Here is a 14415-nt window from a genome sequence, read left to right on the forward strand (position 1 = left end):
TGGTCTCGAACTCCTGACCTCAAGTGATCTGCCCGCCTTGGCCTCCCAAACTGCTGGAATTATAGGCATGAGCCGCTGCGCCCAGCCTAGTTCCAATTTTAGAGGTCAGTGATTGTAAGCATATTTTTTTCAAAAATTTTTATGTCATTCTTTTATTATTGACACAATGGCTAATGTTTCAAAAGTTTCTCTGTGTATCACTTGATCATTTAATCCTCACCACAGTTTAATAATGCAGTAGTTGTTGCAGCAATATTGGTGTTTTACAGTTGAGGAAATATATTCAGAGAGATAAGAAATTTACTGATGGTTACTGTAGGTAGGAAATGGCAGGGTCGTGTTTAAATGGCAGGGTCCTGCCCCTTTTTCTCAAAAAATATTTAGCATAGGATAATTCTGCTTGGTACTAAAAATGTGGACACATTTATATATGTATAAACAAATACCTAGACAGACTTCTTAATCCTGGGAGGTTTAAGGCACAAATAGGCAAGCATGTTGAAAGTTTTGCTGGAAGATCCTTACTTCATGTTCTCAGTGCTAGATAATTAAATTCGAGGAAGTTAGCACTATCCAGGGCTGAGAGGAGCTTAAGGAAACCAAGCTTCTATGAGCGTGCTCTTTTCCTTGGAGCAGATGCTCTGGACAGAAGCAGCATTCCTGATGCATTTGGCACCTGTTTGCCAGTGTTCATGATACACAGATCATGAGGGTAAAGTTAGCCCCGCTTCAAAATAGCAAATTATTATTAATGTATTTTGGCAGGAGAAAGTAATTTTTTTTGAAATGTTAGCATTATGGGGTTCATTTATTTTGACCAAAAGGTTTGAATTATACTCACCTTGGCATTTACCTTGAAATGTAAGGTTAATAAAGCCTATATCACCACTCAAATCCTAATTTCAACTTGCAATGTGAAATTCTCTAGCCACAATAAAGATCTAGCTAACATAATTCAGTTTCTACTTATTTTGAATATATATCTGTCCAATTTGGGTCCAGTTTGGACAATTTAGGTGAAAACTGGATGGCTGTGTTTATATGTATTATCATCATACTACGTTTTACTTTATCTTGAGTTAATTTTGCTTTATTGGATGAATGTCATATGTTCTGTAGGTGGCTTAAGCGTAAAATTCACCCATTACCTACTAATCCAATTATGCAAAAGCCCACTCTTGGCTTTCCAACAGGTAATTTTTATGATCTTATTTGCTATGAGAATCTTGAGCCATCTTCAGGAATCAATACATTGTAAAAGCATTATTGATTATCACGTTAATGATTGACATAATTTATTGCCTTCCTAGGGGAAAGAAGCTTTCAGAAGATCATTAAATGCATTAAAACCTGCAGATGTCCACATGTCTGTGCCTCTCTTTAGCAGCCTGACTCCTTTGGGTCAGTTATTCTTAGCCTCGGTATTTCTATCTTATGGCATCGCAGGTCTAAGATTAGCTTGTTAGGCGTTATCATGCCATATGAGTTACCTCCTAATATAACTCTACACTGGAATGATTATTTATAGAAAGAGCATTCTGTCATTTTTGGGTTATTTCTAGTAGTTTAAATAAAGAAGAATAACATTCAAGTGAAACCACAGATTCCTTCCTGCTGCCAAAATAGCATGATAACTGTCTGCTTAAGGGGCAATAATGTTGTTTAAATGTGTGCTTAGGGTGATTGCAGAATTCTTTTTATCTCTGCCACCTTGAGAGAAAAGGGAGAGCTCTGGTAATGATGTATCATGCTTATGGAAAGGCAAAGAGGCGGCCTTGATGCTGTCTCAGAGCACACAGGACTCTGGTTGATGATGACAACAAGAGACACACAGGGTTTATTTTTAGAAACAGACATTGCTAAGCTCTCCATTTGGTGTTAATATTGCTCATAAACAGAGCTTCTTGGGGCTGTTGACCCTTCTCGTGAATATGGCATTACACACACATACTGTTTTCTTTTTTCACTTTGTAAGAATGATTCTATTATTGAAAGTGTATATATATCTGTTTCTAAAAATTAAGAAATCTAAATTCTATTCAATTTCTCAATTTTTTTTTTTTAATCCCATGAAGCTTGGGTTTAAGAATTGGTTTATGAAAAACAATTGACTATTATAAGCACAATAAATATACAGGTTAACTATAAGTATGGGAAAAAGGCAAGTATACATCATGAATGACTTTTAATAATAAATAACACCAATGCTCCTAGCTTTATTACCACAATATATAAAATATAGCCATAAAAGATACTGTCATTATAATGCACTATTGTGAGTTACTGATTTAAATAGATGAGATAAAATTCTCAGCATATGAGAAAAGTAAGTGTAAGCCTCTGCTTGCTGTTTGGGTATTACTACCTCTTGATGTTCCCAGCAAGTCTCATATACAGTAAAATATGCAGTTTTACATTTGAGAAGTGTTCTCTCAATTTACTTTGTGTGCTTAATTCAAACCTTAGCAATTGTTACTTTGCTCTAAAATTAGAATTGTGTTTTAATGTTAAATTCGCATTTTATATTTTACTATTAACTCATTTTTCCTAAATGATAAAAATGTTAAAATGGATGTTAGTGCATTTTATGTTAAACATTTGCCAAATGCTATAGAATGGATAACTTATGCAGGTCTTCCAAATATTCATTACATATTATTATTATTATTATTATTATTATTATTACTATTTGAGACGGAGTCTCACTCTGTCGCCCAGGCTGGAGTGCAGTGGCGCGATCTCGGCTCACTGCAAGCTCCACCTCCCGGGTTCACACCAATCTCCCACCTCAGCCTCCCGAGTAGCTGGAACTACAGGCGCCCGCCACCACGCCCGGCTAGTTTTTTTTTGTATTTTTAGTAGAGACGGGGTTTCACCATGTTAGACAGGATGGTCTAGATCTCCTGACCTCGTGATCCGCCCGCCTCGGCCTCCCAAAGTGCTGGAATTACAGGCGTGAGCCACCGCACCCGGCTATTATTATTATTATTTTTTGAGATGAGGTTTTGCTCTTGTTGCCCAGGCTAGAGTGCAATGGCGCCCTCTTGGGTCATTGTAACCTCCGCCTCCCGGGTTCAAGCTATTCTGCCTCAGCCTCCTGAGTAGCTGGGATTACACGCATGTGCCACCAAGCCTGGCTAAATTTGTATTTTTAGTAAAGATGGGGTTTCTTCACATTGGTCAGGCTGGTCTCGATCTCTCGACCTCAGGTGATCCGCCTGCCTTGGCCTCCCATGTTTTTAAAAGATAAATATGTTTTGTGTTTTGTTTGGTTATCTGCTGACCATTAGGAATTTCCAAAATGAAAGACAAAAATAGGAAACACACAGTAATTGAAATGTATCTTAAAAGAAGTCAAGATGGAAATAAATTCAGAGAGTGGAAATGGAAGCAACTGAAGGAACAACATAACATGTTGCATCCTGACCACTCTTTTAATGAGCGGGTCGAAGACTTTGGAAGATGAAATTGTTTGAAGCTTTGGGAACTGGGGTGAAAGAGTCATTTATCGGTTCATTTTTTCACCCAAAACTGTTTTAAGAACCAACCATATGACACAGAAGATACAGCTATTAAACAAAGCAAGGAGATACATGGTTGGTTGTTCAATGGAATGATGGATGGATAGATAAAGCTACTTGAGATAGGAATTAGTATTAAGGTGAAATAAGAGAATGGGGTAGAAAGTGACTGATAGGGCAGTATTAACTAGGGTAGCTAGGGTAGTTAAGTGAAGGCTTTTGAGTCTGCTAACCTGTAAAGGGTATCTTTCTAAAAAAAGTAGATTTTCCTTCAACGTTTAATTTGGTCTAAGTCAAGTAGAACAGAAGCACAGTTAAAATAGATTAGGAATGGTCTGGATCTATTTCAATATTGTTACCTCTGCTTTGTGGAAAGGATGGGGAAGCATTTAGCAGTAGGTAGGTAAGGGAACTGGAGAAAGGCTGTTAGCTATGATTTTCTCTGTTTTTCATAGAGATCGTGAACCAAGTGCCTCTCTCTTGTATTCATATTATTAACTTGAAGTGAAGGCTCTTTTAGAACTTGTTCCCTTTCCTTGTTCCTAAGGTTCACCCTTGTCCCTCATCTCACCTGCCCTGTCAATTGTGCTTAACATTTCTTACCCAAGCAGTATGAGTCATTGCTAGTAGTTCAGTGAAGCAAACAGTTTCTCTTTCTCAGAAACCCAAAAGAAGGGGAGCAGAGTATCTTCGCCAGCTGAAGTTAGAAGTCTTAGAACATTTTCTCATAAACACAATATTGCACACTTTTTAAAGGAGTATGAAATACAGTATTCATCACACAGGCATTTACTGTGTACCTACAACGTGCCAGGTATTTAATTCAGGTAGATCATGGGTCAAATCACACCTTTGTTAGGCGGCTGGAGAATCATAACTTCCCAAGAAAATATTTAGCATACATAGCATACACAGTCGTCGTTGGGTTAGCAACTGGCTAGATTCGTGACATGTTGTTACAAAAAAATAGTTGTATAAGGAAGTATTTCATGAAGGTGACACATCTATTTTTTAAAAAGGGAGAAACAGCTAAGAGCTATTTTTCCTCACACATTATGCTTTGTGAATAGGGAACAATGGTGGATACACAGAGTAGGTTGGACAAACATTTTTGAGGGACTGACACATTATCTCACATGCTTGATGCCTCATGGGGTTTTCCCTCAACATTCCAATTGGTCTAAGTCAAAGCACAATTAGAATAGAGCAGGAAGTGTTCTGGAGCTATTTTAATCTCCACTTAACTTCTGCCTTGTGGAAGGGGTGGGGAAGCCTTTATCAATGGGTAGGTGGGAGAACCAGGGGAAGACTGTCAGCTACGATTTTCTCTAGCCTCAAGAAGACTGAGACCGAGCCAAACTCCTGGCCAACGTGCTTTGTGGATTCACAGTGTAGCTTGAGAAAAATGGTTAGTGGTGACTTGTTTTTTCCCCCGAGTGATTATCTCATTCAATCAGTATTTATTGAGTCCTTGAAAGCTGTATTTTTTAAATGAGGCTGCTTGTTTATCTGTTTTTGTTGTTGTTGATTTCTTAGTCTAAGAATTACCAGGTATTTCCTTCTTCTGAGATACCTTAATGCTCTATTCCAACTGGTCATCACTGGGGAAAATTCTCTTACAAGCCCAATGCAAATGTTACCTAATGTCTGACACCATCACTGATTTCCCCTCACCTCTGTAATATTAATACTTCCCTAATTACGTGTATTTTTTTTCTCTTTCTCCCTTCTCTCTCGATCCTCATAGTCCTTTTATTACTCTCTTTAGAACATTTCCACTTTCTGTCTTACACTGTGACTGTGTATGTGTGTCCTCATCCCCCCAATTAGTTATATTATAAGCTCCAAGAGGAAAAGGATCATGTTTTACTTCTATTTTTATTCCCTACAGTACCTAGCATATAATTGATCCCTGAGACTATTTTTAGATAAATGAATGATTAAAGAGTACAGTGTTATTGCACAATGTGTTTTTATACATTTGGTATTTTTAAAAAATGATTTCTTCTTTTATGAAGAAAATTACTCCTCAGTTTCTTTGTAGATTTGAAAAATGTAGACATTTTTGAGGTGTTAGAGCTTTTTGCCCCCAAATTAAAATTATTCATTATAGAATGTAAGCAGGAATGACCTCCAATGCTTTAACAATGTGTGTATGACCCTTTAAATGCTTCAGTTATTCTTAACGAAGGGAATTTGGGAATATTCTTATTTGATGTGATTTTTCAATGAATAATGAATGCCAATAGAAATTTCCTGGGATATGTGTCTGCATTCAAAATGTGAAATGTGAAATAGCTAATTTAAGACTGCCTGAATATAAATGCATACTTTTTTTAATCCAAGAGAAGAATAAATTTAGTTGTGAAAATGATTACAGGTGTACTTTTATGTTATTCAAATAACACTTTGCATTTAATACTATTTTTCCCTTCTCCTATGTTTTTATGTAGAGACAATTTTCTTAGATAAGGGGCAAAAATAGGTGGATTTTTCTGTTAATAATAATATCAATTGGAAATAATTTATCCCCACAATTGCTATCTAGCTCATCTACATTTATTCTGACATTATTTAATTAGCTATATTATTTGACAAGGGGGCAAGGAATGATGATTTTTGATGAACAATTTAATCAAAATCTCAATGCCAAGGGTATCAGTAATTTGAAAAATTATCTAAAGTAAAATGTCAGAATAAGGAGTTAACATAGTGAGATATTAAGGAAATATAGATGGAATGGGTGAATCAATCTCTATGTACAACTCTTCTAAGAGAAGAATGAGAAAATTATCTTTATGTGTATGTGGGAAAGGAATGGTATAGGGAATAAGATATAAATCTTTCAGGGTAGTCTTTTTGCTCTATTTTATCCTTAAAACAGCATAAATTAGGATAAGGGCATTAAGACTTAGAAAATTAATTGAGTTCGTTGATAATAGATGTGTGGGCTGAGAAAGGAGTTAGATAATAAAACCGAATTTTACAGCATAGGTGTTGAACACAGTGTAGTATATCATGGTGAACAAATGTATGCCAGTGTCCTTTTAGTGAATTTGCAAAGGCTGCCAATTAGGCTTTCTTATCATTGTTCATTTGTTTGCTAAAAGATGAACATAAAAATATTAGAAAAAAATTATCTGAATACCAGCTTAACCTAACTTTTATATTGTAAGAAGGAAAACAACCCTCAATCAACTGATACCCGTAGTACCCCTAGTCTCTCACTATTTATTATCCCAGTAATTAAATGGACATTCTTCCACATCCTTGATCTGGAAAGATCAATATCTTTTTCTTTTTTTACTTTTTCTTTCCAGCACATAGTTTCAAATCTGAATATAGTTATAACTCTAACGTTAGAAACCTCTATCTCAGTTCAGTCTTAGATGACTACAAACCAAACTAAATTGCCAGGTACAGTGGTTCATGCCTTTAATTCCAGCACTTTGGGAGGCTGCGGTGGGAGGATTGCTTGAGCCAGGAAGTCAAGGCTTCAGTGAGCCGACATCACTCCATTGCACTCCAGCCTGGGCAGCAGAGTGAGACTCTGTCTCAAATAAATAAATAAACAAATAAAAGAAAAGACAAATATTAAATTGTTTAGTGGACACAGGAGACAACATTGTTCTATTTGATTATCTACTGCCCAGTCAGCTTCCTTGGGCACTCAACCAACAGGTAACAGAGATTATCTTTATGCTTCACCAGTCATATATATGAGACCCACTTTCTTCACACCCCTGCCAATATATTGGATATTGTCAGACTGTAGATATTTTTGCCAATCTTAAAGATGAAAATGGTAGAGAATTACTTTTTTCTGTGAATTTTTCTGACTACTGTTGGATTCGAGTGGTTTTCATATGCTATTAGCCATATGGGTTTTCTTTTATGGAGAGAGAATTCCAGGAATGCAAGATTGGTTAAAGGAAAAAAGTCTATCAGTGAATGTTGCCCTGTTAATAATGAATTAAGCAAAAAAAAAAAAAAAAAAATCTTCTCATTAGATGTAGAAAAACATGCAATAAAATTCAGTATACTTCCAGCATAGAAACTCTTATTAAACTAAAAAATAGAAGAGGGAAGTAAGTATTGTTGACCAAAACCCATTCACCCTATCTGAAACTTTATATTTAATGGTAAAATTAAAATACATTCTCTTTAATGTCAGGAATTGTCTTTGGATGTCCTAGTCAATATTTCAAGACATGAGCATTCAATAAGATGTATTAGAAATTAAAAGGAAAATAAAATAATTGAAATAATAAAGAGTTCACTTATATTGCTCAGTACAAGGTCAGTACAAAATAAAACATTGAAAGGACTGTTTTATATAAAAAACAACCAAACACAAAATGTAATAGTGCTAGCATTTACATGGCAAATGAAACTTTTATGGAAAAATTAATAACATTGTTGAAGGGCATATAAGAAAACTTGATCAGATTTGAGCGATGCTATGCTCAGGAATAGGAAGACTACATCTTTAAAAAGTTATTTATTCCCAAATTAATCTACATATCTCTTTGTTTTTAAAACAGTTTTTTAAAAAAGATGCTTGATGAATAGTATTAAGTCAGATACACTAAGTGATGTATAACAAGAAGTAAATCTTATTTCCACCTCAACTCTACTAACCATTCGATTTCCCACCTCATACATAGTCTGCTGTAAATTTCTTCTATACATTATATGTGTATTATATTTCAGCACAATGTTGATTAAAATCCTGACAGGATCTATGAAGGAACAAGGCATACTGATTCCAGAAATTCAAATATACGAGTAAGTGTGCACAAATGGCAGTTTTGTAAAGCAACAAATGGAGAGAAGAAGCCTAGATGTCAAGTCATACAAAGCTGTATTAATAATGATTATTTGGTTTGGGCAGGGACATGCTCACATAGATGACAAGGAATAGAATACAACGTTATTTTTAGTAGCTTTGTGTATGACAGAGTTTGCATCACAAATCAATGGAAAGAGGACAAACTGTTAATTAAATAGTTTGGGAACAATTAATATATTCAGTTTTTAAACTCATAGCCAAATGATTTTGTACTCAAATATCTATGTTTGCAATACTGTTGTTATCCAGTTATGCAGGTTACAATTTAAATTTCTGCAAAGCCTATGTATTGTATCATGCATGTAGGATCTTGCATTGTATAGAGGGACCGGAAGGAATTTTATGAAGATAGGGCAGGGACTTTAGTAAAGTGGTTCTAAACTAGGTGAGAGAAGTACACAATGTTTATCTAGCTCAATTCTCAAAAAATAACTTGAGACCAAATAAAAGATTCAGATCTATGAGTACGATAGAGTGAAATAGAGAGGTGATAATTTAGTCAAAGAAGAAAGGTAGATAACTGTATCCTAAAGCTTCACCAAGTTAGTCACTGAATAGTGCCTTAAAAGACCAATGGAGAAGTGACTTTTAAGCTGATGCCTGAGTGACTAGAAGAGCCCAGCCATGCAAAGATCAAAGGACAGCAATTCCAGGCAGGGGGAACAGCCAATGCCAAGGCCCTTGAGACCATTATGTATTTGGCTGTTCTCAGAATAAAGGCCACTGTGGCTACATCACTTTCAACACAATAGAGAGGATTTTCAGGAGGTTTAGCCAAATCTGCCACTGTCTGTGTGGAGATAGGTAATCTAGCTGTCTTCTCTGGCATCTGTAAGCTAGGATGGGTTGCCTAGATTACCGTTAGGTCCCTGCCATCCTTAAAAATGTTAGGGATTTGACTTTTTAATTCCCTAAACCAGATCATATCGCAAGACTATGTCTTTCTTGAACCTCCAAAATAATTTTGATTTAGTGGGCAAATAACCCCAGTAATTTGTTTGATACTGCTAGTTTATAATCCTACAGATTTTAGGTTTAGAAACCCATTCACTTCTAGCTTATTTAAACGTTATTGCTTATTTTGAAGCTTATGCCATGTCTGACTTTGGCTTAGAATGTGTTGCCTTTTCACAAAAGTGTTGTGGTCTGTTATAGACCTGTTTACAAAGAACTATCACTAATTGTTATGACTTATCTAGCTTAGTTTGATACCTCAAAACAATCTGAGTCAATCTTTCTTTTTCTGTGGTGTGTATATGCGTTGTATGTGTATATGCATATACAATGTATGTATTACAACTGTAATTGAACTATTTCATATTTTTCTCTGTAGCAAGTTATGTCATTCTTCTAATAGAAGTAGAAAGAAATAGATGGAAAATTTGACTATATGCCAAATTTCTTATAGCTTAGAACTATTTATTACCATCTTAGTAATGAAGATTATTATTTGATTGTTTATCAGAAATATAAAGTTGTATCGTTAGTGTTCATGTTTTTCTTCCAATCTCTTTGCCCAGTGACTACATTTGAATTTTCTAGGTCAATTTAAAATTGTATTTCACTTTTAAAAATTCGGACTTATTTTGGGCTAAAATAGAAATTTCAGTTAAGCACAATAACAGAGATGATTGTAAAAATGCAGAAATTCCAGTTAAATATTAACACTTAATATAATTAATTGCTGCAGGTCAGCTGCTTAATAAGTAAATAATTGTTTCCAGCTATCTTTTTTCCCCAGTTTATTTTAATCAAAATAATTTTCTTGGCTGTGTGCTGTGGCCCATGCCTATAAACCTCAGGATTTGGAAGGCTAAGGTGGGAGGATAGCTTGAGGCCAGGAGTTTGAGACTATCCAGGGCAACATAGTGAGACCCTGTCTCTACAAAAATAAAAACGAAAAATAATTAGCTGGCTGTTGTGGTGTGTGCCTGTAGTCCTAGCTACTCCGGAGGCTGAGGTGGGAGGGTTGCTTGAGTCCAGGAATTTGAGTTTGAAGTGAGCTATGATCATGCCGCTGCACTCTAGCCTGGATGACACATAAGACCCTGTCTCTAAAGATAATAAGAAAATAATAACAATAAAAATAATTTTCTTCGTTAAACTAGTATTTTGGGATAAGTACTACATAGTCCTTAGGAATTTTTATTCATAACTTTTTCTAAACTCCAGTTTATAGTCATATGGTTAAAATTTAAAAACAGAAAGAGAGATTATATTGGTTATTGGTTCTAAAGTCATATTTTATTGGGTTTTACACCTACTATGGTGATATTTAAATGATGCCAAAGCTACATGTTGCAATCAAGATAACAAGAGTATTTTTTCCTTCTTCCTCATTCCAATCTTTTGAAATGTAATGCATGGAAATTTTTCTTTCATATGTTAAGTGTATCTCATTGCTGAATATAGTGTGCCTCACTGAAGTATTCACTTCGTTGCCAAAAACACATCAGTCATTCACAAATATTCAGTATTCTGAGAATGAAATTTTTTTTTAGCTACTTGGGTAGTTGGTGAAAGCCAGTTTGCAAAGATTTCTAACTCCTACAGCGTTAGACATATTATGTGGAATCCAGGGCTAAGCAGCAGCTCCCAAAACATGAGGTAGAGTTCTAGATACATTGGACCCTTCAGGCCACAGTATCCTGGACCAAGATTTGTAGCCAGTTAACAGAATGGCAGTAAGCAGTCTTCTATTTTGTCAGTGAGATCAAAGAGCATTATAATTTTGGAGAACAAAGGGGGTTCCATCCCTGAGCACATTCATTAGCATTTAAAGGAAATAGTTATAAAATAAAAATACAATCCCTGAGTTAATTAAAACATGGAGTTTCAACATAAGCAAACCTAAGGCTTAGAAGATTGGTTGACATATAATAATTGCTTAATGAATATTCATGGGATAAGTGAATGAATGAATGGATTGAATATCATCCATTTACAGCAGCTGATATTTCAAGTGCACATGTGCGTTTGCACTTTAAATGTTCTAGGCTTTTTATCCTGGGTTTTCTAGGCATAAGATATATAAAGAATATATTTTAAAAGCCAATTTTTAATTTTAAAACTTAAAGGGAAGAAGAACTTCTTTTCATTCTTCATGATGCTTTTACTAAGGACACATTATTATTTTTATGAATATTAACTACGTCATACTTCAAATATGGAGGTTCTTCAGTCACACTTAAAATTTTTTGGGTTGTTTTCTTCAGACAAAAATGGCTTTGCAGCTGTGATTTTATACTCTTCATCCTGCCTGCGGGCCTCTTTCTAGTAGGGCCACATTGTGTCATCCTAATTTATTATGTGCAGTATAGTTAGAGAATAAAACCTCAGATGGTTGGGCTTATTGCGTTGGTTTCTAAAATGAAATTTAAAAGACCTTTAAGAAGGATTTCCTCTGGGTAAATATATTCAGTTATGCTCATATCCATAGAAAATGTAATTTGGACAATAAAAGGCCAAAATCACTTGAGTCTTTGGTATGTTCTGGATAGCTGGTGTTTTTAGAGTTGTGATTTCCAGGAAGGAGGATGTCACCTTACCGCCCTAGTCAATATCCTATTTACTTAAGAACAGAAACAGGGAAAGGACAACTCAACCTTCCTCTCACCTCCTTCACATGAGAACCCCAGAGGATGTTCTGATGTGTGTCAAATTCACATTCTAGATAGTAATATATTAGGCTGGGTGCAGTGGTTCACGCCTGTAATCCCAGCACTTTGGGAGGCCGAGGTGGGTGGATCACCTGAGGTCAGGAGTTTTGAGAACAGCCTGGCCAACATGGCCAAACCCTGTCTCTACTAAAAGTACAAAACTTAGCCAGGCGTGGTGGTGTGTGCCTGTAGTCCCAGCTACTTGGGAGGCTGAGGCAGGAGAATCACTTGAACCCAGGAGGCAGAGGTTGCAGTAAGCCGAGATCGTGCCATTGCACTCCAGCCTGGGTGACAGAGTCAGACTCCATTTCAGAAAAAAAAAAAAAAAAAAAAAAAGATAGTAATACATTGAGCATCTGATCTGCCTTAGCTGAAAAATCAAACATCTGGCATAATGGTAAAAAATTATATAGAAAGATTACTTAAAAAGACATCTGATTTTAGGCTTCTTTTTCTGGCAACAACAACAACCACCACCATCACCCCAATTCAGCCAGCATTCTCTACATTTCTAATTTATGTTTAAATAAATATGAATATTTAGTCCAAGATAAATTTTTTGATCAAAACTGATGATCTCACACATTGACAGATTTACTTTCTGGTATTTAAAGACAAACATATTCAGAAAGGTTAAGCAGTGCAGGGCGTCATGTGCTTACAGGAATTGATATCTTTTAAGAGTCCGTCATTGTGACTGCCTCATTTCACGGCTTGCCACCTGACTCTGTTCTTACAAACGATAAAAGTTCAAATAATACATTATGAAAATGCGTTCTGAGGATGTTTTATTTACTTGCTACTTTCCACTTGTAGTTTCATGTCAAGTATGGTCCCTTACACCTGGTAAGAACTGAATACCATGTTTGGGAATGAACGAACTAAAGGATCAGCTTGTGTGATGCGAGAGCTGCCTGCATTATTTCCTCCCCTCCATTTCTCCTCTTTTACAGTCTAGAGTCTAGTATGGCTGCTCTCATAGTTCTTCTATACATTCATTCTAAAGAATTAGCTGTAATCTATTACACATCATATACCAACTTTGTTATTCTCTTGTCAGTCACATATCTTTTCTCAACACTGATTTGAACATTTGTCCATCTTTCAGAACACGATGTTGCAGGTAGAAGAGTACAAGTTAAGACAGGATGCCTTAATTAAAGAAGAGGCCTTTACTCCTGTTTTCTTCCATTCTCACCCCTCTGTTTCTGCCAGAATTGTGACAGCAGGGCAGAAAATGGGCTTTTCGTGCAGAGTTGACAAGATACAGGGTAGTGAAGACAAGAATCTTCTTTCACATGCTAAGAAACTCCTGACTATACTTCTGAAGTAGTAATTGGAATGACAGCTTTTCTGGCTGAAGTACAATTTTTTTGTTTTAAAAATACAAATGGTCCCTCTCATTTTCTATTCCCAGTTCTTTCACTCACATGCTCACACTTACAGTTATACAGTGTTCACACATACATTTTTCATTGTTTTCTCATTTGAAATAAAATGTTATGAGAAATTTTCACCATAAGCAAATAATCACTTATTTTATTTGTTTTAATTGAGCTTTTAAAAGGACATTATTTATTATTATTTCACACACTCGTGCATTTATTGATTTACTCTCTCCCACAGTGATTGATTTACCGGTATTTATCTTCTCCAACTAGACTGACTTCTAATGACTCATTTATTTGGGAACTTCTTCTATACGAATCAAAATCAAGAGTTTGAAGTAACCCAGAAAGAGACTTGGAGAGCCCAAGGGATCTGTGAATGAGCTTTAGGCAGTTTCTGAATCTAAGAAAATTGTCTGCAAACAAATATATTTGTGTACATATGCATTTTTGGGGAGAGACTGTCAATTCCATGTCTTAATACTCAAAGAAGTTTGTGTCCCTAGCAAACGTAAGTGATCAATTTTAGAAAGAGTGATAACAAATTTGATTATTTGGGTCTTCAGCCCAAGACTAAAAGGCATAGATTACAAGCAGGGGAGTTTACTAGATTTAGACTACCTAAAGACTTACCTAGAGCCACAGCACACAATAAAAAGCAAAAAGAAAACCAACCCATCTTCCAAATATAGAAAAGGTCGAGAAATTAATGCAAAAGCTTGTCCCACCTCCATTAAAGCCGACTGCTGTATTTAACTGGCCCTGAGGGAACCACAGTTTCACAATGCAGTTACGGAAAGGCCAGTAATAGCCCTGGCTGGCTCCTCCATGTCATAGATATCTTTAAAATCAGAGATGTATCTAACCCATTTTGGAAAGCATACCTTAAAACATTAAAGTGTTTTTGATATTTCAAGGAAAAGGCTTCCGACATGTGAAATGTTTATTTTCTAGATTCTCTTATTCCAAAATGAAATCAAACGTGTATGAAGCTG

The 14415-nt window shown here is 35.7% G+C and overlaps 1 protein-coding gene across 40 annotated transcripts in view, besides 2 other annotated features; it reads left to right on the plus strand.

Annotated features, from left to right (window-relative positions):
• Positions 1–14415, plus strand: part of HDAC9 (histone deacetylase 9) — a 915592-nt gene that overhangs the window by 417693 nt on the left and 483484 nt on the right. For 2 of the 40 annotated variants that reach the window (NM_001204148.3, NM_001204147.3), the window contains exon 1: positions 4753–4929. The exons of the other annotated variants lie outside the window; for them this stretch is intronic. The gene's annotated coding sequence lies outside the window, so the exon portion shown is untranslated. Of the gene's footprint in view, positions 1–4752; positions 4930–14415 lie in introns of those variants that run through there. 40 annotated transcript variants of the gene reach the window in all.
• Positions 4119–5318: an enhancer, noted in NCBI's record as "P300/CBP strongly-dependent group 1 enhancer chr7:18548259-18549458 (GRCh37/hg19 assembly coordinates)". NCBI's record gives its function as "activates an origin of replication core promoter dependent on BRD2, BRD4, P300/CBP, MED14 and CDK7 cofactors, with strong dependence on P300/CBP, by STARR-seq in HCT116 cells {active_cell/tissue: HCT116}" and the evidence as "EXISTENCE:reporter gene assay evidence [ECO:0000049][PMID:35650434]".
• Positions 4126–4255: an enhancer, noted in NCBI's record as "active region_25681". NCBI's record gives its function as "activates an Ori minimal core promoter by ATAC-STARR-seq in GM12878 lymphoblastoid cells {active_cell/tissue: GM12878}" and the evidence as "EXISTENCE:reporter gene assay evidence [ECO:0000049][PMID:35858748]".

The sequence above is a fragment of the Homo sapiens genome, chromosome 7 (assembly GCF_000001405.40).
Source record: "Homo sapiens chromosome 7, GRCh38.p14 Primary Assembly".
Taxonomy (NCBI): Eukaryota; Metazoa; Chordata; class Mammalia; order Primates; family Hominidae; genus Homo; species Homo sapiens.